The sequence below is a fragment of the Homo sapiens genome, chromosome 16, assembly GCF_000001405.40.
Source record: "Homo sapiens chromosome 16, GRCh38.p14 Primary Assembly".
Taxonomy (NCBI): Eukaryota; Metazoa; Chordata; class Mammalia; order Primates; family Hominidae; genus Homo; species Homo sapiens.
The window spans coordinates 87441773-87467883 of NC_000016.10; the positions used below are offsets into that span (position 1 = coordinate 87441773).

The following is a 26111-nucleotide window of genomic DNA, read 5'->3' on the forward strand; positions in this document are numbered from 1 at the left end:
TTTTTTGGGGCCAACCTGTGTTTCAGGGAAACTGAACTAAAGATGATCTATGAAAACGTAGTGTTGGGGGACTCTGGTTCCAGGTAAGACGGAGCAGCAACGAAAGCCCCTGGAAGGGAGACGCTCCTCTCTGATGTGGGGGCTGCGATTCCAGGTGGGGTGACACCTCCTCACTGCCTTTTCTTCTCTCTGTCTTCCCATGAAGATGGGGATGGTCACTGAAGTGCACAGCAGAGAGGGCTAAAGCCCCAGCTTTCTGGCTGGAGGACCAAAAAGGGGAGCCCCTGGGAACTGGAAGTACAGAAGGATAGCAGAGAGGGAAGATTTCAGGGAAGCAACCCCGTGGCGTTGTGGGTGCGTTCACCCGGGGGCTGCACATGGAAGAATCTGAACTGCCGAACACACCTCCAGCAGAGTCTGAGGCTGGACGGCAAGCAATGCCCCCAAAGGACGAGGCCAAACAGCACCGCCACAGCTCGGAAAATGGAGCTGGCACCACAGCCACACCCCACAGAAGGCTGCACAGTACTTGCTGTCAGAACCCAACCAGGTCAACTGCACCAAACCAAAAGCATCAACATTCTCTGTAGGATTAAAGATGAGTCAGAGTCTCGTATCATACTATTCAAGAAAATCAACAGATCCCAACACTGAGATGGCACAGATGCTAGAACTACCAAAGACACAGAAGCAGCTACTGGCACAATGCCCCAACAGGGAGGGGCAAACACTCCTGAGATGCACAGACAGACAGAAAGCCTGCACAAATCCAGGTGTAAAGAACCAAATGAAAATTTACAGAAAAAAAAATTAAAACTTTAGCGGTGGGACAATGGCTGAAAAAGTCCCAAATTGTGTGAGAGACATAAGCCTATGCATAAGAAGCTCAATGAGCTTATCCAAACAAGATAAGCCCAAAGAAATCAACACCCACACACGTCATAAGCACAATGCTAAAAACTAAAGACAAAAAAATCTTGAAAGCAATCAAAAACAATACATTACCTCATAGGAGAAAACCATTCAAATGACTGGGACTTTCGCATCAGAAACCATGAAGGCCAGAAGAAAGTAGAATCATATTTTAAAGTACTAAAGGCAAATAACTACCAACTGTAACTCTACATCCAGTCAAGGTGAAATAAGACACCCTCAGATGAAGGAAAACTGAGAGGACTGTTTGTCAGCGGGCCTGCTCTGAAAGAACTGCTAAAGTTCTTTGAACAGAAGGAAAATGAACGGGAAGCAAACTTGGACCATCAGGAAGGAAAGAAAAGCAAGAGAAATGTGAAATATCTGGGTAATATAAAAGCAGTCTATTCCGCTTTTGAGTTGTTCAAAATAGGTTTGATGGTTGAAAACAAAAATCATTAACGCGGTCCCAAGCAGCTTTCGATGCCTGCGGATAGAATTCCTAAGACAACTGTGACCGGAAGGGCAGAGGCCTGGATGGTGGTCGGGTTTCCACCTTCCACCGGCACTGGTAAGTGGGCTCCAGGCAGACTGGGGTCACTGATGGCTCTACAAAAGATTCAATGAGAAAACACTGCTGCTTCCAAGAAACCTATTTTTTTTAAGTGGGCAGCTTTTTATCAATGCAGGAATTGTCAAGTGAGCCTTTTATTTGCTACCAGGTAAGTCAGCTGAGTTGGGATCAGTAAATTTAAAAGATGCTGACAGTGGCCAGGCATGGGGGCTCACACCTGTAATCCCAGCACTTTGGGAGGCCAAGGCAGAAGAACTGCCTGAGCTGAGAAGTTAGAGACTAGCCTGGGCAACATGGCGAGACCCCATTTCTACTAAAAATTTAAAAAATTAGCTGGGTGTGGTGGTACACACCTGTAGCCCCAGCTACTCGGGAGGCCAAGGCTGGGGGATCCCTTGAGCCCAGGAGTTCAAGGATGCAATGAGCAGGGATCACACCACTGCACTCTAGCCTGGGTGACAGAGTGAGATACTATCTCAAAAACAAAAACCAAAAAAGCCAGGAGCTGCAGCTCATGCCTATAATCCCAGCACTTTGGGAGGCTGAGGCAGGCAGATCACTTGAGACCAGGAGTTCAAGACCAGCCTGGCCAAAATGGGGAAACCCAATCTCTACTAAAAATACAAAAATTAACTAGGTGTGATGGCCCATGCCTGTAGTCCCAGCTCCTCAGGAGGCTGAGGCATGAGAATCACTTGAACCTGGGAGGCGGAGATTACAGTGAGCCAAGACTGTGCCACTGCACTGCAGCCTGGGTGACAGAGTGAGACTCTATCACAGAAAAAAAAAAAAAAAAAAAAAGAAAGAAAGAAAAGGAAAAACACAGAAACGGCCCTGTGGAGCTAGACTGTCACTGAGAAGGCCTAGAGCAGCCACACTCCATCAGCAGGGCACACACAGCATCAGATTTTGGCTTCTAAAACCCATTTCCCACTAAATGAACCTAGGCCGTTGGAAATTGTTGATTTCAGGGCTAGGGGAAAGAAAGCTGAGTGTTGAACATCTTGTTATGTCAGAAAGCAAGGAATTGCTCATAGAATGACAGGACATATTAAAAAGACACAAAACATCAGTTTTCAGGGGCTCCCACCAGCCAAATCTGGTACAGCTTCAACATCAGAGTAACGACATTAATGGATTATAACTCACTGAATAAAACAGGAAACAATAATCCCATACAAACTTAAATAAATGATTAAGCTGAAAGTCTGATAAGAAACAGACTATTTATCTAGTTAGAAAGTAATTTTTACACAGGAGAATCCTGGCAGATAGCATGAAAATTAATATAGTGACTGTCATCAGTAACGGAACAAATTGAGAGCTTGTACCACCCGACAGGACACAGTGAGAGCAGCGTAGCATGTTCCTGGCAAAGATGTACAGCCTGAATCTAGTCAGGAGAAGTATCAAACAAACCCAGATTGTGGGATGGTTGGCAGAATCAGTGGTTCATAATCTTCTAAAGTATCCGGGTCATGAAAGACAAGGGAAGATGGAGGAGCAGCTACTGAAGGATACAAAGGAGGCCAAATGCACCCTGGGATTCCGAACTTGATCCTCTGGGTATAAAAGGCATTACTGGGACAATGGCCGGAATGGGAGTAAGCCTGAGAATTAGAGGGTGGTGACATCTCAATGCCAACTTCCTGATCTTGATGGCAGTACTTATTGTTTGCAGAAAACACATGATCACGATTTGGGGATGTTGGGGGATCAGATCCACAATTCACTCCCAATGTTTCAGGAAAGTTCTTTATATTGTAGTGACAACTTTTCTATAAATTTGTGATTTTGTTTTTCAAAATAAACTTTTTTTTTTTTTTTGAGACAGAGTCTTGCTGTGTCACCAGGCTGGAGTGCAGCGGTGTGATATCAGCTCACTGCAACCTCTGCCTCCCAGGTTCAAGCAATTCTCCTGCCTCAGCCTCCGAAGCAGCTGGGACTACAGGTGTGCTCTACCACGCCCAGCTAATTTTTGTATTTTTAGTAGAAACGGGGTTTCACCATGTTGACCAGGATGGTCTCGATCTCTTGACCTCATGATCCACCCACCTCAGCCTCCCAAAGTGCTGCGATTACAGGCGTGAGCCACTGCACCTGGCCTAAAATGAACCATTTTTAAAGACGCAGATCTATTCCCTCAGTGTGTACCATCAGAAGAAAGGCATTGTCTGTCAGTGCTTATTTTTTTCATTGGAGAGGTTGAATTTCTTTCTTTCTGTTAATTATGATTGCTGTGTTATCTTCCTGTATTTTGTTTTTACTGTGAAGGATCATAATCCATTCTTCCAAATCTTCAGGAATTACTTGGTATAGGTTTTAACAGGCCACCATGTGATCAGATGTTCCTTTGAAGTTTCCTTTGATATTTTATTACCAGATAGTCCCTCAAGCCACGGCGTGTGGGCTCAGCCGCTACGACTATGTGATGACGCGCCGACCTGAGAAACACACATGCTGACCATCTGGCCAAGAACTGAAGACCAGGGCAAAACCACAGCATATCACAAACATTTTTCCAGAACAGGGTTGTAGTGTCTCTTTTGATGCCAAATTTTAAAATAAAGCAAATTAAATAATGATTGTTGAGGGAAAACTAATTTTTTAATTAAAGAAGATTCCATCTAATTACGCATGCTGTTTGGAAATCAACCTATTTTTCTAGGTCCTATCATCTTCCCAATTGATTTAAAAAATATTTTTAGGTACTCCTTACTCCAAACATCGACAGTATTTTTCTTAAACTTTAAACAATTTTGGCCAGGCACGGTGGCACATGCCTGTAGTCCCAGCTATTTGGGAGGCTAAGGCAGAAGAATCACTTAAACCCGGGAGGCAGAGGTTGTAGTGAGCCAAGATCGCGCCATTGCACTCCAACCTGGGCAACAAGAGCAAAACTCCGTCTCAAAAAAAAAAAAAAAAAGACTTAAAAAAAAAATTGGCAGGGTGCGGTGGCTCACGCCTGTAATCCCAGCACTTTGGGAGACCAAGGTGGGTGGATCACTTGAGGTCAGAAATTTGAGACCAGCCTGGCCAACATGGCAAAACCTCGTCTCTACTAAAAATACAAAAATTAGCTGGGAGTGGTAGCACGCACCTGTAATCTCAGCTATTCAGGAGGCTGAGGTGAGAGAATCACTCGAACCTGGAAGGCAGAGGTTACAGTGAGCTGAGATTGCGCCACCGCACTCCAGCCTGGGCGACAGAGGGAGACTCCATCTCAAAAAAAAAAAAAAATTATGAGACAGAGACTACACATGACCCACAAACACAAAAACATGAATTACCTGGCCCTTTACAGAAAACGTTTGCCAGCTCCTGAATCAGAGTGTCAGTGGAAATGCTGACAACAAACTCTACCTTTTGAGCAAATGAGATGATGAAAAAGTGGCTTTGCTTTCCTTGGTTTATAGCTGAGGTCAGCAAACTGACTTTCTTTTTTTTTTGAGATAGAGTTTCGCTCTGCCACCCAGGCTGGAGTGCAGTGACGCGATCTTGGCTCACTGCAACCTCCACCTCCCAAGCAATTCTCTTGTCTCAGCCTCCCGAGTCGCTGGGATTACAGGCACACACCACCATGCCTGGCTAGTTTTTTTGTATTTTTAGTAGAGACGGGGGTTTCACCATGTTGGCCACGCTGGTCTTGAACTCCTGACCTCAGGTGATCCACCTGCCTTGGCCTCAAGAAGTGCTGGGATTACAGGTATGAGCCACCGTGCCCGGCCAGCAAACCAACATTCTATATGAGAAGACAATTTAGTAACACAAATACCACATGAGAATTTTCACATTCAAAATACATATAACGTCATCTAAGACTCAACAGGAAGACAGAATTCTGCCAATAGACTAGGAAAAGACACTCCGGCAAAGCTCTTTTGGGGCAGAGCCTTATAAGACACATACATATTCTTAAAGATGGCGGAAGAAACAGACCTCACCCCTCCACCCACACATATTTTGGGCCAGGGGGAACTAAGCAGGCAGCCTGGACACCTGCCAGACTGCAAAGGGCCTGTGTGAAACGGCAAGGGGGTCAGGTGTTTTTTTTTTAATTTGAGGCGAAATTTACATAGAGCAAAATGCAGAGATCTGAAGTGTACAATTCAATGAGTTTGGGTACATTTATATGCCCATGTGATCACTAATCCTTGAATCAAGACGCAGTGCTTTTCAATTCTCTAAAAAGTCTTGAACGTCATATAAACAGGACCATACACGGGCCCTGCTTTCATTCAACATTGTATTTTTGAGATTCCGATGTGGTTACATGTATTAGCTTTGAAAATGACTGAGTTCTCTTCCATTGTATAAATATACCACAGCTTGTTTATCCATTCTCCTACTCATGGACATCTGGGTTGTTTCCAGTTTGGGGCTATTATGCATAAGCTGCTATAAGCCTTCATCTCCAAGTGCTGTTGTGGATGTACGCTTTCATTTCTTTGGGATAAATTCCCTAGGACGAGAACTGCAGGAATATAAGATACATTTATCACTTCATAAGAAATGCCAAATTGTTTTCTTAATGGTTGTACCATTTAATCCTCCCATCAGCTGCGGATGAAAGCTCCAGCTGCTTCTGATCCTAACATTTGCTATTCTGTCCTTCTGACTTCCATTACCTCGGTGAATAGAAATGATACTCTCCTGTGGCTTTGATGTGCATTTCCCTGATGACTGGCGACTTGAATCATGACATCCCTGGACAATCTGTGTGTACAAGCAGGTATGAGTGCTCTGGAGTTAACTGCCTTTCTTTTTTCTGCTGGTAGAAAAAAACCTAATTGCATTAATATATGTGTAATCTACTGCTTGGAATGCATACCATTCTTCCATAGGAAGATAATCTTCACAATCATTAACGTCTTCCATTTCCTTATATAGGCTGTATTCCTAATCTGAAAATCCAAAATCCAAAATGCTCCAAAATCTGAAACATTTTGTTATTCTGAATGAAAATAACTTTCATTCAAAACTTGGCTTGCCACAGTCCTCTGGCATCCACTGTTGCAAATGGCAAGTCCAATGTTAGCCTGATTCTGGTTTCTTCACAGGTGAAATCTGTTTTGTTGTTCTCCTTTGAAAACGTGTAAGATCATTTCTTGATCCCTTATCAAAAAAAACAACAATGCGTCTCGACATGGGTGTTTTCAACTCACCTTTCTCAGCACTCAGTCTGCCCTTTCGTGTGAAGACTCACGAGGCCGTTTTCTTCCCGTGCGTACTGAACATGCTCCTTCCTTTCATCTTCTCTTCCAGCCACCCTGCATTTCAGAGGCTGAGCTTGGCTGCCCATTTGCGCCACTCACCTTCTACCTTGTATCTCCACATTCGGCAATCCTCGAACACTACTGAATGTTTTGCTCTGGTGGTCACTTTTACATCCCAACAACTCTCTCTTGGTCTTCATGTTTTCTTTTTTCATGGCACCCAGCTTTCATCTGACAAATGCAATATCCCCTCAGCCTCCCACAAAATGTTAATTGGAGTTTCCCTAAGTAGGATGCTTATCAAAAAGATCAGCCTCTGTTCTCTGACTTGTCTGTGTACTTTGCAGTAGTCTGAATTCTCTGCCACAGTTCTTTACCCCTCGTCACACTGAAACCCATGCTGCAGCTGGCTTACGGTAGTGTAGACTTTCCTATCCTTGAATTTGGAGCTGTGGCCATAAGACTCACTGCGGACATCAGAAAGAGGCAGAAGCGACCGTGTGCCGGCCCAAGCTCGGCCTTACGAATCCTCATGGCTCCCATGTGCCCTTGGTCCCCAGTTCAAGGAGGATGAGGGACGCCTGAGTCAGAGCCACCCCAGCCACTACGGCCTGAACAGTCACGGAGCATGGCCCAGCTGACACCAGCCAACCCACACATCCGTGAGGAAGGCGCTCATCTTGGGTGCTCCTGAGCTCTGCTGGTTGGCTGTTACACAGCTGTAGCTGACCAACACACCCCAGGCATCTCTTAAACCTGTTGTGGTCTGTCTTTACAAGCTTCCTTACATCCTTTCTCTAGAACAAAACCTCATAAAAACAATTGGGCACACTTTAATGTTCCTATCTCTAAAACTCTGAAGAGAAGTAGAAAGGGATAGATGCAGGGAAGAGAGGGTGAGGGGCACAGCACAGGGGGAAGGGCACCATGGTTCCTGGGCTCCTAGGCCCTCCATCCATGATCACGAGGGAGGAGAGAGGAGCACTCAGCAAATCACACAGGTGCAGAGGCGCAGCGACAGACCCCGACCAATTCAGCAACGCCACCAAGAGAGCAAACCCCAATCCCTTTCTCTTTAGGTCAACAGAGACCTACAGAAGAAAACCAGTAGTTTTCCGCCAAATGTCTTTCTTTAATTTGCTTTCAAGGTATCTTTATTAAGTGGTTTAATCTACATTCCCAACAATGAGAAACCACTTCAACAATTTACAAAATTATGCTTAAAAAATCACAGTAAAGGGAATATTATTTATGGTAGAGGGGAGAGTTTAAAAAATGACCCAGGATAAGCTGGGCATGGGGGCTCACGCTTGTGATCCCAGCACTTTGGGAGGCCGAGGTGGGTGGATGGCTTGAGCCCAGGAGTTCAAGACCAGCCTGGCCAACATGGCAAAACCCTGTCTCTACAAAAAATATGAAAATTACCTGGGTGTGGTGGTGTGTGCCTGTGGTCTCAGTTACTGGGGAGGCTGAGGCAGGAGGATTGCTTAAGCCCCAGAGGTCGAGGCTGCACTGAACTGAAAAATTGAGGCACTGCACTGCAGCCTGGGCAACAGAGTAAGACCCTGTCTCAAAAAACAAAGAGAAAAAGAACAGCATTGTTTTCCAGCAGACGCCCCTTCTTCTAGGTCATATACAAGACAACCAAATGTCTTCACACTTGAACTAAGAGCTGTACCACGATCACACCGTAGATACTTCCTGCTTTAAAATGTTATTACCAAAAGCCAGTTTTCATTTAAAAATTGGAAAACTGTGTTCTTAAGACTTGCAGTTAAATAATAATTTTCCTAAAATATCAACTGACTTTCTCACTTTCATTTGCTTGTCTATGTTAATGGGATAATTTCTAGAAGCATTACCTCTTGTAGCTGTTATTAGAATTTGAACATTCACCATCACACTGATTAAGCTGCTCCTTCTTCCCTACATCTTTTTAGGACATGCAATGTTATACTTAAGAACATGATATAATTTATTTTTCTTTGGTTTTTTATTATCTAGCTACATTGCATTAATTTCATTTGTTAGTTCTTCACAAAGAGAAACAAAAGTAGTGAGTAATTGGGAAAACATAAAGCTGATAATAGATTCTTTTTTTTTTTTTTTTTTTGAGAGAGGCTTTCACTCCTGTTGCCCAGACTGGAGTGTAATGGCATGATCTCGGCTCATTGCAACCTCCACCTGCCAGGTTCAAGCAGTTCTCCTGCCTCAGCCTCCTGAGTGAGTAGCTGGGATTATAGGCATGTGCCATCTTTTTTTGTAGAGACGGATTTTCACCATGTTGCCCAGGCTGGTGTGGAACTCCTGAGCTCAAGTGATCTGCCTGCCTTGGCCTCCCAAAGTGCTGGGATTACAAGCGTGAGCCACTGCGCATGGTCTGATAATATTTTTAAAGTAGCAAAAACAGGAAGTGAACACCTTTTCCTTTTCTTTTTTTTGAGATGGAGTTTCGCTCTTGTTGCCCAAGCTGGAGCGTAATGGCACGATCTTGCCTCACAACAACCTCTGCCTCCTGGGTTCAAGCGATTCTCCTGCCTTAGCCTCCCGAGTAGGTGGGATTACAGGTGCGTGCCACCATGCCCGGCTAATTTTTTGTATTTTTAGTAGAAATGGGCTTTCACCACATTAGCCAGGCTGGTCTCAAACTCCTGACCTCAGGTGATCCGCCCGCCTCGGCCTCCCAAAGTGCTGGGATTACAGGCGTGAGACATGGCGCCCAGCCTTTTTTTTTTTTTTGAGATAGAGTTTTTCTCTTGTTGCCCAGGCTGGAATGCAATGGCATGATCCCAGCTCACTGCAACCTTCGCCTCCCGGGTTCAAGCAACTCTCCTGCCTTAGCATCCCAAGCACCTGATATTACAGGCACGTGGCTACCACACCCAGCTAATCTTTGTATTTCAAGTAGAAGCGGGGTTTCACCATGTTGATCAGACTGGTCTCAAACTCCTGACCTCAGGTGATCCACCCAACTCAGCCTCCCAAAGTGCTGGGATTACAGGCGTGAGCCACCATGCCCAGACAAATTTCCATTTGTAATGATTAGTGATGTGGCATTTGAATTTAGGGGCCTTAGGAAAGTCACTTATTTACATATTAAGGTAAACATTCTGCTCGGCATTAGTACGTTCTAAGCGCAGCGCCAGCCATAAGTGATATAAAAATGAAAAGGTTCAAAGAAGTGATGCTGTGCTAGGCTTCAAGGGCAGGGCCTATTCTGGGCAGAGGGATGCTACAGTCAGGGCCCAGGAGCAGGACAGTGCTGTTGTCATTGGAGCGGAAGGGGAGCGTCAGGAGCTGATACAGGGAAGGAAGAAGGTCACACAGAGGCAGCAGCTCCCTGGCTGGTGACACCACAGTGAACACGGAAAGAAATCCTGCAGGTCTGCTGCATTCAGATGTCTTGGTTTGAAATGTGATACTTTCTAGCTCACGAGCCTGGGCAGTTATTTCACCCCTCAAAGCCGCATGTCCTCGCCTGAGCAAAAGGAATCCCGGCTCTCCCTGCACGGCACGGGGCTGGGCAAGTGTGGGCTGACTGCAGCGTTCTTGAGCCACCACGGACAAGCCGTAAGCAGGGGCGTGCAGTGACGCAGTGTGTACTGGACTGGTCCCTGCTTGACAGACTGAAGAGGGGCAAGGCCAGAGACAGAGGGACCCACAAAGTGACAGATAAGATGGAGGCCTAGATGAGGGGGAAGAAACAATGATAGCCTTGCAGGGCCAAAGCCACATGTGGGAGAGGAGCTACCTTGGACTTACAGGTTTCGCTCTAAGCACTCGAATGCTGGGATCAATCACCAATGTGGGAACCATGTTGAGGGCAGGCAGGAGCTGGCAGCTCCATGCTGGGTGGGCGACTGCATACCCACTGGCTGCATGGGTGGAAATATTCACGTTATCAGTGGCTGACGAGGACTTGGAGTCTGTAAGGGTCTCAGCTGAACTCAGAGCTGAAAGCCACCAAGAGAGGGATAGTGGCTGCAGAACAGGCTTGGGTAAGACGGCTCAGGCAAAGCGTAAAGTAGGGTACAGAAGAGCGCTATCGGGACCACCAGCCTTTGAGGGACACAAGAAGAGGGAATTTCAAAGGAAACAGAGAGGCAAGGGGAAAGCCAGGCAAGGGTGTTCTCAGGAAACCGATTTAATGCAGCCCACCAGCTGCACAGGGATGACATTTCACAATTTAAAAAAAACAGAAGCAGCCAAGGGAGGATGGAGTTTGGGGCAGGGCAGTCACAAATGCCAAGAAAAGGTAGTGAGCTCTGAAAGCACCTACCCTGCTTGTCAGCTGAGGAGCCCCTGGTGACCCCCCTCGTGACAGCAGTTTCAGGGAGGTGCAGGTGCTGAGGCTGGGGTGAGTGGTGCAGCTGAAAGAAACAGCGAAGCCCCATGCCTTCCAGCAGCGTGGCTGTGACGTGACAGGGAGGAGGGCTCAGGTGGCCCAAGTGCACACATGTGCCCACGCCCAAGTGGAGATACCTTGGGGGCCCTGAGAAAGGAGAGAAGGCTGAATACAGAGGGGGACGCCAAGCACCCGTCTCCCTTGACAGAGGAGTGGACACAGCCTGGGAGGGGAGGCGAAATAGAGGGGCAGATTGGCTTCTGAACAAGCTGGAAGATGGAACGCTGACCTGTGACAACCTCCAGCAAAGCCACCTGCTGGAAGGAAGGGGGTGCTCCTGGGGGACAAAGCCATGCTTGGGAGCGAGCAGCGCTCACGCAGAGCCCGACTAGGGGCAGGTGGCATGACCTGGGCCCGCTGGGCCACAGTCATGGCAACAGCTCCTACAGGACCAACCCTTCCACAAATAACAAAGAACGATTCTGGGGAAAAAAATGTATTTACAGAACAAAACACCCCTCTGAAGTCACTGGAGAGTAGTGGGAGCAGGCAGAACCTGGAGGAAGGCCGCAGAACATGGGAGGGTGCGGGTTTGTGCTTTTCACCCGAGGGCGGGCCCTGTCAGTTCCCCCGTCAGTGCCCAGCCCTGGGAAGAGGGGATAGGGCTGGGATGAGCGCAGCTGCTCACCAAGGAGAGCGTCCCAGACAAAGCCCAGGCTCTGCACGTGCCCGCCACACACCTGGCTGCCCCAGCCACGGTGGAGGGCCGACTTCGCACAGCTGGTGCGGTCTAAGGACTAAGGCACCTCCATCTGCTGCCTGCCCCCACCAGCAGAAGCCTCGACCTTGTCCAGACAATATTCCCTGTTGCAAGAGAGAAACAACACTCTTCAGAACATGAGAAAAGCTGGAAACTCTATAATCACACACAATGGCACAATCTAGAATTAGACATTCATAAAAATAGGGAAATGTGAGGAATACTCAAGAGAAAACGCGATGAATGGACACCAGCCCTAAGTGACCCCAATGCTGGAACTGGCAGACCAGGATTTGAAAGCAGCTATTATAATGACATTCAAAGATGTAAAAACAAAAATGCCCACAATACATGAATGGACAGAATCTCAGCAGAAAAAGAGAAATTATAAAAAAGAACCATACACAAATTCTGAAACTAAAAATACAATATCTGGTATGAAAACGTCCATTAGCTTGGTGTACCAGCAGACTGAAAATGACAGAAGGGTACAAGAGCTTGAAGACAGATAAAAAGAAAATGTCCCATCTGAGGGAGAGAGAGAGAAGAATTTGAAAAATGAACTGAGCTTCACCTCAGATCTGTGGGACAAGACCAAAGGTTTCTCATACATGAGAACTGGAGTCTCAGATGGAGAAGAGGAGGAGAATGAGGAAGAAAGAATACTTCAATACTGGCTGAAAAGTTTCTGTTGTAGTGCAAAACATAAGCTGAAACAAGCAGTTCAGTAAACAAGAAATGAAATAAAAGAAAATTACACCAAGGCACATCACAGACAAACCATTCCAAACCAAAGACAACATCCTCAACGCAGCCAGAGAAAAATGGCCCACGGCATACAGCGACAGAAATGCTAGAGGACTTTTCTTTAGAAAAACAAGAGCCAGAATATAGCAAAATGACATTGTTAAAGTTAAAACAAAAACTCTCAATGAAGAATTCCATAATTAGCCAGAATGAAGGCAAAACAAAGATATTTTCAGATAAATGAAAACTAAAATCCACTGTCAGCAGAACTGCAGTGAAAGAAATGTGAAAGGAAGTTCTTCAGGCTGACGGGAAATGAGACCAGATGGAAATTCCAATTTTCAGGATAAAATGAAGAGCAGTGGGAATAGTAAATAGTATGGATAATATAAAAGACTATCATCTTTTTCCTTTTCCTTTCTTAGAATAGATGCAAAAATCCTAGCCCTGTTTTACATGGTGCAGAGCACACGTAGCTGGACCCATGTGACAAGTACACATACAGGACAGGGCAGAGCTGCACTGATGATGCCTGGTAAACGGCTGACAACTGGTGAGGACGGGGCGGCCCCTGATCTGTGTCATCTGCCGATCCACAAAGCATAAATGCTCTGCCACGGCTGACGACATGCCACCATCAGCCACCAATGCAACATCAGCGGGCTTTAAAAAATCCTGGAGGCCGAGCGCCGTGGCTCACATCTGTAATCCCAGCACTGTGGGAGGCCGAGGCGGGCAGATCACCTGAGGTCGGGAATTCAAGACCAGCCTGACCAACATGGAGAAACCCCATCTCTACTAAAAATACAAAATTAGGCAGGCGTGGTGGCACATGCCTGTAATCCCAGCTGCTAGGGAGGCTGAGGCAGGAGAATCACTTGACCCCAGGAGGTGGAGGTTGTGGTGAACCGAGATCGTGCCATTGTGTTCCAGCCTGGGCAACAAGAGTGAAACTCCGTCCCCCCCCGCCCCCGCAAAAAAAAATACTGGAAAGTGAACGACTGGCTCTCAGGAGATACCATGAGCTGGCCTCGGCACCCCAATGAACAACACAGTGACAAGAGGCTTCTGTGTCACATGGAGTGGCTCAACATTAACTCAGAGTAGAGCCTGAAAAGGTAAAGATGTGTAGTGCATTCCTGTTGCTTCTCTTAAATGGGGGGCTCATAGAGGGCGCAAAGTCCTAGCGTCCTACAGAAGCTCTTCTACGATGAAGAACTTGACTCCTCCTGTGTCTCTAATCACATTTTCTTCAGGGAAATTGAGAAAACCATCACTCAAATGATTCTCTGTGCCCTGGGGTTCAAATCAGAATCCGTGGCTGAGGAATGCTACAGGCAACCAGCTTAAAAATAGTAAGTACAGATGGTCCCTGACTGAAGATGGCTGGAGTTGACGATTTTTCGACTTTACAACAGTGCAAAAGCAACATGCATTCAGAAGGAACTGCTTCGAGCGCCCATACAACCATTCTGTTTTCCACTTTCAGTACAGACTCAATAGATTACATGAGTCAAAACTTCACTATGAAGTGGGCTGTGTGTTAGATAATTTTGCCCACCTGCAGGCTAATGCAAGCGTTCTGAGCACATTTAAGGTAGGCTAGGCTAAGCCATGATGTGTAGCAGGTGTGGTGTATTCACTGCATTGCAACTTGTGGTATTTTCAACTTGCAGCCCCCACTGTAAGTTGAAAAGCATCTATGCGGTAAAATGGAACTGTCTAATCTAGGTGAAGGGTACTCACTGTGAAACTTTTTCAACTTTACCGTGTGTTTCAAAGTCCTCATAATAAAATGTTAGATAAAGAACCCATAAGGAAATTGAAACTATCAAGGCTTCTCGATTTCGGCTACACACTGGAATCCCAGCACAACCCAGGAAAGGCCACAGACTGTGGGCATTTTAGAATTTAGATTTTAGGGCTGGGCGCAGTGGCTCACGCCTGTAATCCCAGCACTTTGGGAAGCCGAGGCGGGCGGATCACGAGGTCAGGAGATCGAGACTATCCTGGCTAACACGGTGAAACCACGTCTCTACTAAAAATATAAAAAAATAGCCGGGCGTGGTGGCCGGCACCTGTAGCCCCAGCAGCTACTCCGGAGGCTGAGGCAAGAGAATGGCGTGAACCCGGGAGGCGGAGGTTGCAGTGAGCTGTGATTGCGCCACTGCACTCCAGCCTGGGCGACAGAGCAAGACTCTGTCTCCAAAAAAAAAAAAAAAAAAAAAAAAAAAAAATTTAGATTTTAGGTGAATTCTTGTCTTCTTAGAATTCATGTTCTAATTGGTTGGGATAGATTTTGTTTTGGAGTTTGGTCTTTAGCTCTCTTCAGCTGTAACAACGCTGCATGGCAAACACAAACCCCAGGGGCACACAATGGAAAACATTCATTTAAAATAATTTTTAAAAACTCAGTTTTAATCGATAATATGGTAAATACCTATAGATGTGACCCACATAAACATGGATTCTTTGGAATCTCTAATTTTTAAGAGTGCAAAGGGGTCCTAAGACCAAAAAGATTGAAAACTACTGGTATATAAACAAGTTTAATGAAAGTATACCTCCTTCACTGTCTCACAAAAAGAAAACTTTAAAAAATTATAATTCCTCAAAGTCCAAAGTTACAGAACTTACTTTGTTGAGAGTATTAGTAAAAGCAGTTTCCATCTCAGCTTGTACACTACAACAGCTTCCCTAAGTTTCAGTAAATCATCAACACAGGGACTGGAGCGCTGGAGAGTGCACCGCAGTTCTCAGCCACACCCACGAGGGGCAGGGGGCTCAGAAGCCACACACAGTGACCTGGAGCTGCAGCCAGGCACTGGGTACGGGGTTTACTAGGCTACAATCTCTACTCCTGAACTGGAAAATGTTCACAATAAATAGGTCAGGAAAAAAAGGAATGATTTCACTGGTTAATGTGTACTCATAGGCACTGCCCACACAACGGTGTGTTTTCCACTTTCAGTACAGTCCCACCTTTCTTTTCCTCTGCTATTTTCTTCAGCCAGCCACAGGGTTAAGAGCATTAGCTCTGGCTTTGAATCCCAGCTGACCTCAGGAAAATTTCTTATCTGTGACTCAGTTCTCCCATCTGTAAAATGGGGTAAAAATCACCACATGGGATCAGTTAGAATTAAATAGGTATAATCAGCCCTCAAAGGGCTGTTATGAAGATGATGTAAGTCAGTATCTGTCATGTAAGTTAGTCATGTGCTTGGACTGTTGTTCAAGTATATAAAAGCTTCCCTAACCTTTTACATACTAAGAAATTTTTTAAATGTCTGACCACTCTATAAATTAAACTGTATCACTGTAAGACTTCTGAAGAAGCAGAGAAAAACCAAAACAGAAGTAGGATACAGAAAAGACAGAGAGAAAACTTTATAGTAATAAAACTATACAACTTACTGTGACTTTAGACTTTCTGAAGGGCAATAACCTGCACCCAACAGAATATTAAAAGGATTCACATGAAAAGTGACTAAGAAAACCAAGTTAACTCACTTGCCAATTTCCGGACAACAGAAACCGCGACCCTCTATGACTAATGAATGGAGAATGCTGCAGGTAATTAAGAGCGTCTGCTCGCTGCGGTATTTTAAGCACTGTGGGGTTTGAGAATGACCACTCGTGGCCTCAGAGCCGACCCGCCAGCCTACGCAGGCTTTGCCACAGCTCACATGAGAGTCAGCTCACCCTCTGTCTCTCTGGGCACCAAAGCATGCAGACGAGACAATGACAGATACTCGCTACTTTGAAATTATACAGAAAAAAAAAAAAAAGAATGGGGATGTCAATAATTACATCCTGAAGAAAAAGCACTGAAGGGTCCATCCCTTAAGATTCACAGGGTGTGCAGGGCACAGGTTCCTAGGCTGGACTGTCTGGGGACAAAGGAAGCGGCACTCCACGGCAGGCCTTTCTCCTGGGATGGCATGGGGGAAGGAAGAGGAGGAGCCCTTTCTACAGCGGAGGGACTCCCTGCAATTCCGACGCCAAGTGTCCGCTCTGGGGTTGGAGCATCGCGGCATCACCAGGATGAGGGTGCGGTGAAGACGCTCAACCAAGAGCCACAGACCCTCCCAAGAGCAGTGGATAAGACAAAGACTGTTGCGACCTCAGGGGGTTGCTACGAGGGTCAAGTGGGGACAGGAGCCCTCGCAGGGCTGCAGTAAGGAGTTACTGTCTCCATACCATACCGTGCTCATTACATCAACAGAGGCTGCAGCTGCTGGGGAAATGGGTCCTTCCTGAGTTAGGATCTAAATCAGAGACAGGTGGCTCTCGATGGCGTTGTCAGAACGGGACTTTAGAAACAAAGCAGTTATGAAGCCTGTGGAAGGCACGAAGCGCCGTGCCAGGGACGGGGACGGTGCGGGGCGGTTGGGGGAGAGCGCACAGGGTGAGCGAGTGCGGCTCTGGGCCTCACGTGGCGCACCTGCTAGGAGACAAACATCTTTGTAAATAACACAGGGAGAATAGAGGCCAGCAGATGCGGACACAGCCGGCCTCGGTACCTCTATGCCATGGGGGCTCAGGACCAGTGACCCCACTGGAAAGCGCCACCCTGGTCTCTGTCTCCCCACTACTGACGATTCTGCAAACCACACAAGCATTTATTTTACCGGGTATGCATTATCTGGTCCATCTAGTCCTACAAACCACCTTACTCTCCCCTCCCCAAAGCCTCCACTACTATGGCATGGTTACCAACTTTGCAGCTGATCATAACACGGCAGAGGCTGGCGTGCAGAGCCACAGGGGCTCAGGCCGCGCCTCACTACCCACGCTGAGCTGTCCACGTGTACGTTAAAGAAAAATAAAGACTCAGGTAGCCAGTCACATTAGCCATGTTTCAAGTGCGCGGAAGGCACGTGTGGCTGCTGACAACCAACTCAGTGCAGGTGGAAAACACTCCGTCACCACAGAGAGCGCTTCAGGACAACACCGCTCTAGTGGTTAAGGATGATTTCCATGTGGGGTGGGGAGGAGGGTGTAAAACTTATTCCTCCCACCCTTTTTTTTTTTTTGAGATGTAATCTCACTCTGTCACCCAGACTGGAGGGCAGTGGCACGATCTCGGCTCACTGCAACCTCCACCTCCTGGGTTCAAGCAATTCTCCTGCCTCAGCCTCTCAAGTAGCTGGGATTACAAGCGTGCACCACCAGGCCTGGCTAATTTTTTTTTTTTTTTCAGACGGAGTTTTGCTCTTGTTGCCCAGGCTGGAGTGCAATGGCGTGATCTTGGCTTACCACGACCTCCGCCTCCTGGGTTCAAGCGATTCTCCTGCCTCAGCCTCCCGAGTAGCTGGGATTACAGATGCCCGCCACCACGCCCAGCTAATTTTGTATTTTTAGTAGAGATGGGGTTTCTTCATGTTGGTCAGGCTGGTCTCAAACTCCCAACCTCAGGTGATCCGCCCACCTCAGTCTCCCAAAGTGCTGGGATTACAGGTGTGAGAAACCACGTCTGGACTTCTCCTTAAAAAACATCAATAATTGAGATTTTTACAGCCAAAGCATATTCATGTATTGCTTATAGAATTTAGAAAAATACACATAAGATTGGCATTTATGAAAGATCTGAAAGCATTTAACAATGCCCTCACGGGGATCTGGGGTGTGCCCATCCTCCGTCCGTCAGACGTCCTCCTGAAACCCGTGCGTGCACTCACCTTTGCTGTGTTTTCCTAAGGGCCTCTTGGGCAGCGACTCCTCCGTGGAATGTGCTGATGTGTGCAGGGCATTCTCCAAACTATTACTGACACTGCTGACAGGGGCCTCAGTTCTTGGAGTGATCTGAGGGAACAGAAACAGAATCATCTTATTTTCTCCCACGGAGTTAATAGGGGACAATTTTATTTGTTAATTAAGTCTTTCATAATTACCTTGGTTTCCATTTTTCTACAAAACATGTATTATTATAATAATAAGCCTTCCCCAAGAAAGATGAAAATTTCACCTACTACTCTCCACTGAAAGTGCAAAAGAGCTCAGATAACTTGAGTCAAACACGGGCGCTTACGTCTTGTGGCTGGGGTTCATCGGGTGCACAGAAACTATGGTAGCCAAAGAGGCCGGGCACGGTGGCTCACGCCTGTTATCCCAGCACTTTAGGAGGCTGACGCAGGTGGATCTCTTGAGCCCAGGAGTTCAAGACCAGCCTGGCCAACATGGTGAAACCCCATCTCTATTAAAAATACAAAAATTAGCCAGGCGTGATGGCAAGTGCCTATAGTCCCAGCTACTCGGGAGGCTGACGTGGGAGGATCACTTGAACCCAGGAGGCAGGGGCTGCAGTGAGCCAAGATGGTGACACTACACTCCAGCCTGGGCAACAGAGTAAGGCTCTATCTCCAAGAAAAAAAAAAGGAACTATGTTAGCCAAGGTGGCATGAATTATATATTTTTATTTGAGGCAAACTTTTATTTTCATATTTCTTCAAATCAAATAGCTCCCTATAAAACGAATTACACAGCAGGACTTAACATTCTCCTTCTATAAATCTTAAATCATAAAATGCTTTAAAAACAACAGCAAAGAACAGAATACAACTCGGTCTATTTGGGGTACAGTTTGAAAAAGCATATCCTAAAATTACATCCCAATTCCATTTCTAGGAATTCACCATACCAAGTACTCACACGTGAGAAAATGACCTGATGGGGTGTGCCCACTGCAGGAGTGTCTGTGACAGGGAAAGCGGGGCACACCCTCAGTCCCCATCGACAGAGACCTGCTAAGCACAGACAGTGTACCTGCAGGTGACGGCCGCCCCCAAGCTGTGGGTGGGGGAGGCCCTCCTGACCACCAGTGCTCCCAACACACAACAAGCGCAGAAACAAGCCACGGGCTAGCCAGGCTCGTCCCACCCCTCCTGCTTCCTGGGTTCAGTGATGGTGTGAATGTGGAATAAGCCGGAAGGGGCCCAGAGGGGCGAGAGGAGGGGGGTAGCAATAACCTTCATTCCCTCCCCATCAGTATTTTAAAATTTCACAGCCAAAACACATTTATAACTTATAGGATTTAGAAGAATAAAAATGGCCAATGCTGTAACTTCTTTACAGTCTCAATGTATTTCAAAATTTCGGAGGATATGAGAGGCGTAAGATTTTAAAGTTCATCAAAAGAGCTGATAAGCAATGCTGCATTCACAGTATGGGAAAGTACATGGCACAAGCAGCCTGGAAAATGGCCTGACCTCTCCAGCCTCCACTTGTTCTTTCATCTCATACCTGGACGGTAGGTGGCAGTTGACCAAAACATCCCCTAAGTTCACTCACAAGCACAGATCCCAGCACTCGCTCTGCAGAGGGCTGGCCAGGTAGGCGTGGCCTCGACCTCAGACAGGATGAAAGTGGAGGCGGAAGCTGGAGTTGGGAGGAAAGGGTGGAGACTGCTGCCACTCCGGCAGGACCAGCACCTGCTGTATTCCACAGACAGCAAGCCACAGGGGCCACACCCAAGTCCATAGCGAGATCCTCTGATCCCAGCTCTGTCAATGCCCCTGCCCCCCAGCAAGAAGCCCTCCTGGGCTGTTCATGCAGGGAGAGGGACTAACAGATCCCACGCGGCTCAACAGATGCCTTCCAAGAAAAGCAACTTGTCACAGGGCTACATAATTGGGAAGTTTATGTAACTCGAGAAAATAAGGCCGGGCGCAGCAGCTCATGGCTATAATCCCAGCACTTTGGGAGGCTGAGGCAGGAGGACTGCTTGAAACTATGAGTTTGTTACTGGCCTGGGTAACAGCGAGACCCTGTCTCTATTTAAATTTCTAAAAAAGTAAAAAAAAAAAAAAAAGTCCTAGCCATGCAGCAACTCCTCCAGAAAGTCAATTCTTTGGATAACTTAATAACATGTTATCAAGAAAATAAAATTTTTTGAATTTCTTATATTTGTAATTTAAATTGGGTGATTTCCTTCCGATTTAACAAAGTCTCTTTCATTATTCTATGGTTAGAGAACCCAGAAATGAACTCCTTTCCCACTAAACAAGATAATAGAACCGATACAAGTACGATACAAATCTTACACAAGGAGATTTTTAGTTCCAAACAGTACATATTACTTTGCAAGACAACTCAGGAGGTTAACACATTAACTGTACAAGAAACACAGCCAAGGCCGGGTGCAGTGGCTCACGCCTGTAATCCCAGCACTTTGGGAGGCCGAGGCAGGTGGATCACAAGGTCGGGAGATCAAGACCATCCTGGCTAACACGGTGAAACCCCGTCTCTACTAAAAATACAAAAAATTAGCCAGGCATGGTGGCGGGTGCTTGTAGTCCCAGCTACTCGGGAGGCTGAGGCAGGAGAATGGTGTGAACCCGGAAGGTGGAGCTTGCAGTGAGCCGAGATCGCGCCCCAGCACTCCAGCCTGGGCGACAGAGACTCTATCTCACAAAAAAAAAAAAAAGAAAAAAGAAAAAAGAAAAAAAACAAACACGGCCGAGGCCAGGCTTAGTGGCTCACGCCAGTAATCCCAGCACTTTGGGAGGCCGAGGCAGGCAGATCACCTGAGGTCAGGAGTTTGAGACCAGCCTGACCAACATGGTGAAACCCGTCTCTACTAAAAATACGAAATTAGCCAGGCATGGTGGCGCACGCCTCTAATCTCAGCTACTGGGGAGGCTGAAGCAGGAGAATCGCTTGAACCCCGGAGTTGGAGGTTGTAGGGAGCCGAGATTGCGCCATTGCACTCCAGCCTGGGCAACGAGAGTGAAACTCTGTCTCAAAGAAAAAGAAAAAAAGAAAAAAGAAACACAGCTAGGTGCAGTGATTCACACCTGTAACTCCAGCACTTTGGGAGGCCAAAGCAGGAGGATCACTTGAGGCCACGAGTTCAAGGTCAGCCTAGGCAACATATTGAGACCCCCATCTCTACAAAAACACAAAAATTAGCTGGGTGTCGTGGCCTGTGCCTGCAGTCCCAACTACTTGGGAGGCTAAGGTGGGAGCATCGCTTGAGCCCAGGAGTTTGAAGCTGCAGTGAGGTATGATCATATCAGTGCACTCCAGCCTGGGCGATAGCGAGACCCTGTCTCAAGAAAACAAAAGAAATATAACCACAGCAGAGCCCATTCGATTTGGCCTGATGCATGAACCTCCACATTCTCTTAGCTACTTTGGTACATATTCTAAGTCCTGGTTCTAAGAAGAGAAAGTGAGCTGCCTTTTCTCTTTTTTAAGAGACGGAGTCTCAGCTGGGCACGGTGGCTCACGTCTGTAATCCCAGCACTCTGGGAGGCCGAGGCGGACAGATCACCTGAGGTCAGGAGTTCGAGACCAGCCTGGCCAACATGGTGAATGAAACCTCGTCTCTACTAAAAATACAAAAACTTGCCAGGTGTGGTGGCGGGCACCTGTAATCCCAGCTACTCGGGAGGCTGAGGCAGGGGGATCGCTTCAACGCGGGAGGTGGAGGTTGCAGTGAGCTGAGATTACACCATATTGCACTCCATCCCGGGTGACAGAGCAAGACTCCGTCTCAGGAGAAAAAAAAACAAACAGAGTCTCTTCTGTCACTCAGGCTGGAATGCAGTGGCACAATCATAACTCACCGCAGCCTCGACCTCCTGGGCTCAAGTGATCCTTCCACCTGAGCCTCCTGAGTAACTGGGACCACAGGTGCACACCAGCACGCACAGCTGAGAGTGAGCTGCCTTGACAACCAGCATCAGCAGTTCCAACTTTGCTGGTAGTGGCAAACCTTCCTGCCCCAAAAAGAAACACGTGTGATCAGTGCGTTCTCGCACACACACACCGCCTGCCCACCCTAAAACACTCCAAAGAGACACAAAGGAAAGCCAGCCTCCCAACTCTCAGCCTGCTAGGGGAGGAAGGGGAGAGGAGGGCTGAGCAGGGGAAAACACAGCCTTGGAGAGAAGGAGAGCAGTACTGATTAGTGCTTCTCGGCCTCGACAGCACACTGGAACACCAAGGCCCTGAGAAAACCACATCCCACACTCCCCACCAAAATCAGAGTTTCTGGAAACGGGGCTTCTTTTGTTTTGTGCCTGAAGCTTCTCTGGTGATTCTAATTTGCAGCTAGGCTAAGAACCAACCACGACCCCAAGTCCAGGTTTTATACTGCACCCATCATCCGGTCCAATCCCGGCAAGGACAAAGAGGAGACCCAGAGAAAACAGGAAGTCTTTTCCCCACGCAGACAGGAAGAGCTAAAGGCTGTAGGTCCGTCTGCCACAACCACAACTGGAAGGGGAAAGCCCGTGAGCCACCCTAGCAAAACACACACTGCATCTGACATCAAGACAGGAAGGAAAACTCTTTAGAATGGCAACTGCTGGAAAAGAAAGACCTGTTTTCCTCCGTATATTTTCCCAAGGAATTTCTTCTTAGTTTTCCACATGTTCACTTTTTCCAACCAAGCCTTTATCGTAACTTTGTTCCTTTGTTTACATTGAAAGCTGTCTTCACTTGTGTTTCCCAGAAATGCTGTTTTGGGGTTATTTTTGGTGAAGTTAGTTTGCTCCACGTGACCTATGTTCCACTCAAGTGCTCTCTGACTCAGGCTCACCCGCAGGACTCGTCATCTGGCCTGATGTGCACGAGAGGGAAGACTGACCGGCTCCAAAGGCTGCCTTCTGCTACTGCTAGGAAGGCAACGATAAGCTGCTCTCTTCCTCTCCACAGCCAGCCTCTTCCCACAACCCACAAAAACCCTCTGCCTGGCCCCTGCAACCTGGCATCCAGTCCTCCCCCAGCTCTTCACTCCATGCACTGCTGCCCTGGGCACAGCAGTCACATCTGCCTGGGGCCTTCGCCCTGGCTGTCCCCTCTGCCTGGAAGCGCCCCTGTGCCTTCCCATCTATACTCAAACGTCCTTCTTAGCAAGACTTCTCGATGCTCAGCAAGGCAGCTGTGTTTCTGGTTTGCTTTGTTCACTGCTGTTCCTTTGCACTTCGAACTGGGCCTGGCATGAAGCAGGCCGTTAATAAGGATCTGTAAAATACATCATGATATCACCAAATTTTAATGAAATTCAGAATCAAACGGAAAGCACTTCTATTTCAAACAAAAACTTCTGCAATCTACATTATGTAACAGACAATCAGATTGTTCCACCACATCTACAAAGCGCTAACCCAGGAATGAAATATGACTCTGAAGCAAGCTACTGGTAGTCACGGGGCACACCCGCCCCTGGGGCTCTTCCAGGAAAGCTGACTGAGGTTCCACAGTGGCCACACATCTAGGGGCACCTGGACTTGGGCAGCCCGCCTCTGGCTCTTATGCAATCACCCTTCTTACTGTTACAGTTTAAAGAGAGGAGGCCTCTGCTTCCAAACTTTAATGTGCAAAATGCCTCCGGATCTGGCTGAAACGCAGGTTTGATTCATGAGGTCCGGGGTGGGCCTGAGAATCTTGCATTTCTAACCAGCTCCCACATGATAATGCTGCTGCATGAATATTTCAAGGTAAATCTTCACCATGATCAAAACAGTCAAAGGCTCAACAGCCTCCTCTTATTTTTTTATTAAAAAAAAATAAACAGAGCCAGGGTCTCACCATGTTACCCAGGCTGATCTCAAACTCCTGGGCTCAAGCCATCCTCCCGCCTTAGCTGGGATTACAGGCGTGAGCCACCGAGCCCGGTCTCCGCAACGTCCCTTTAGATGGGATGGAAAAGGGAATCCCCGCACTGCGCAATTAGACCAGAGGGAATCAAAGGCCCTTCCAGGCAAGGGTGAGGAGCTACGCCTGCAGAAGAGCTGACGCTGGCTGCAGGTTGTGACCCCCGCTAACTACCCCCCGCCTCAGGTATTTACGCTTTTTTTTAAAAAAAGGTTTGTCCTTAGTTCATGCCGCCTGACAGAAAAAAACCCAGCACCACACAGGCTACTTTACAGCTCTGTGCTTACAACCCACTTTAATGTTCACGGACCTGACCATAACTTTTAGAAGAGAATTAATTTCTAAAAATCTATTTCCTGAAAGCTCTTCCAAAGACATCCAAGTGGGACGTGCTGACGCAGTCAGATGGAAGCACAGCCCCCCAACACTGACGGCAGCCTCGGTCTGCAGAAGACTCGCTGCACCCCACTGGTGGGCATTTGAAAACTGCTCAGAAAAACGGCAGTGAGCTTTTAGAGCAGGGTTTTAACCTTTTCTTTGTGCCAGCGACCTCTCTGGCAGTTCGATGACACCTACTGAGCCCTTCTAAGAAACATATTTTAAATGCATAAAATACACAGGACTGCAAACAAAGCCAATTATATTGAAAACCGTCATCTAAGTATTAGAAGACAAATGGGCTCCTCGAACAGAGTCTGTGGGTCTCAGCTCACTTCACAGGAGCGCTGAGCATGAAGGAGACTTGAAGACGCTTTCTACGACTGTGCAATCAAAGTATCTGTGACTGCATCTGTGACCAAGTCACAGGTACTGTTCGTATGACTGTGGATTCCTGCCTGCTTCCATAAAGGCAGGGAATGCTCAATTCCCAGTTAGAGGCTGGAGAAAGTGAAGTTGTGATGGCTTCCACTCTCCATGGCTAGGAGCCCCTACTGGGACAGTCACATCTAACCGTGCCCACCAGAGGGGCAGCCTGCCACTGCCCTCCTCACCTTGTTTCTTTACAAATACGGACCTGAACAGTATTCACATCAGCATGCCACATAAAAACAAGCCCTGGAAAAGCCTCACAGTCACTTTGGAGGTCACGTGTTTTTCATGAAAAAAAAAAATTGTTTTTTTTTTTTTTTTTACTAAAGAGACAGGGTCCCGCTATGTTGCCCCATCTGACCTCTAACTCCTGGCCTCAAAAGTGGTCCTCCACCAGATCAGACCTGTTGATAGATGAAAACTGTCTGCTTTCTCCTCTGGCGGGAGAAGACTATTCTTCCTTTTAAAAGGAAACTCGAATGAGGACTGCAAGCCTCTCGTTTTACCGGACACTAAACCCAAAATTAAGGATAATGGAGATCTGGTTTTTATCAAGCCTCAATAATGTAACACTGCCCCAAGCGAAAACAGAAAAAGATTTCATCCAACTCTGCACCCCTGGGGTAATTAAGCAAGAGAAACTGGGCACAGTTTACTGTCAGGCAAGCTCTCCTGGAGCAAATATGATTGGTAATAAAATGTCTGCCATTTCTGTTCACGGTGTGAGTACCTCTGGAGGACAGATGTACCACTATGACATGAATACAGCATCCCTTTCTCAACAGTAGGATCAGAAGCCTATTTTTAATGTCATCCCACCAATTCCCGTTGGTTCTGAAAATTGGAATAGGTGTCAAGGATCTGGAGATGACAACTTGACTTCCTTGGGGACTCTGAATTTCCCTGGTCGAACGGTTTCTTTTTCTTTTGAGATGGAGTCTCGCTCTGTCGCCCAGGCTGGAGTGCAGTGGTGCGATCTTGGCTCACTGCAAGCTCCGCCTCCCGGGTTCACACCATTCTCCTGCCTCAGCTTCTCAAGTAGCTGGGACTACAGGCGCGCACCACCACGCCCGGCTAATTTTTTGTATTTTTAGTAGAGACGGGGTTTCACCGTGTTAGCCAGGATAGTTTCAATATCCTGAC

The 26111-nt window shown here is 47.1% G+C and overlaps 1 protein-coding gene and 1 pseudogene across 4 annotated transcripts in view, besides 2 other annotated features; one reads left to right on the forward strand and one right to left on the reverse strand.

The window, feature by feature from the left end:
* ZCCHC14 (zinc finger CCHC-type containing 14) overlaps positions 1-26111 on the reverse strand; it is an 86777-nt gene that overhangs the window by 35525 nt on the left and 25141 nt on the right. For 3 of the 4 annotated variants that reach the window (XR_243401.4, NM_015144.3, XM_005255858.4), the window contains exon 2: positions 18236-18359. Coding sequence is in view for 3 of the 4 variants with exons in the window: in NM_015144.3 (NP_055959.2) it covers positions 18236-18359 (124 nt within the window). In the remaining variant the exon portion in view is untranslated. Of the gene's footprint in view, positions 1-18235; positions 18360-22881; positions 23677-26111 lie in introns of those variants that run through there. The other variant, XM_017023082.3, reaches the window with a different exon arrangement.
* Positions 11264-11764: an enhancer, noted in NCBI's record as "H3K4me1 hESC enhancer chr16:87486642-87487142 (GRCh37/hg19 assembly coordinates)". NCBI's record gives its function as "activates a minimal SCP1, AML or CMV promoter by ChIP-STARR-seq in primed H9 embryonic stem cells {active_cell/tissue: H9 hESC(primed)}" and the evidence as "EXISTENCE:reporter gene assay evidence [ECO:0000049][PMID:30033119]".
* Positions 15401-16600: an enhancer, noted in NCBI's record as "P300/CBP strongly-dependent group 1 enhancer chr16:87490779-87491978 (GRCh37/hg19 assembly coordinates)". NCBI's record gives its function as "activates an origin of replication core promoter dependent on BRD2, BRD4, P300/CBP, MED14 and CDK7 cofactors, with strong dependence on P300/CBP, by STARR-seq in HCT116 cells {active_cell/tissue: HCT116}" and the evidence as "EXISTENCE:reporter gene assay evidence [ECO:0000049][PMID:35650434]".
* Positions 25364-25898, forward strand: NR3C1P1 (nuclear receptor subfamily 3 group C member 1 pseudogene 1; annotated as a pseudogene).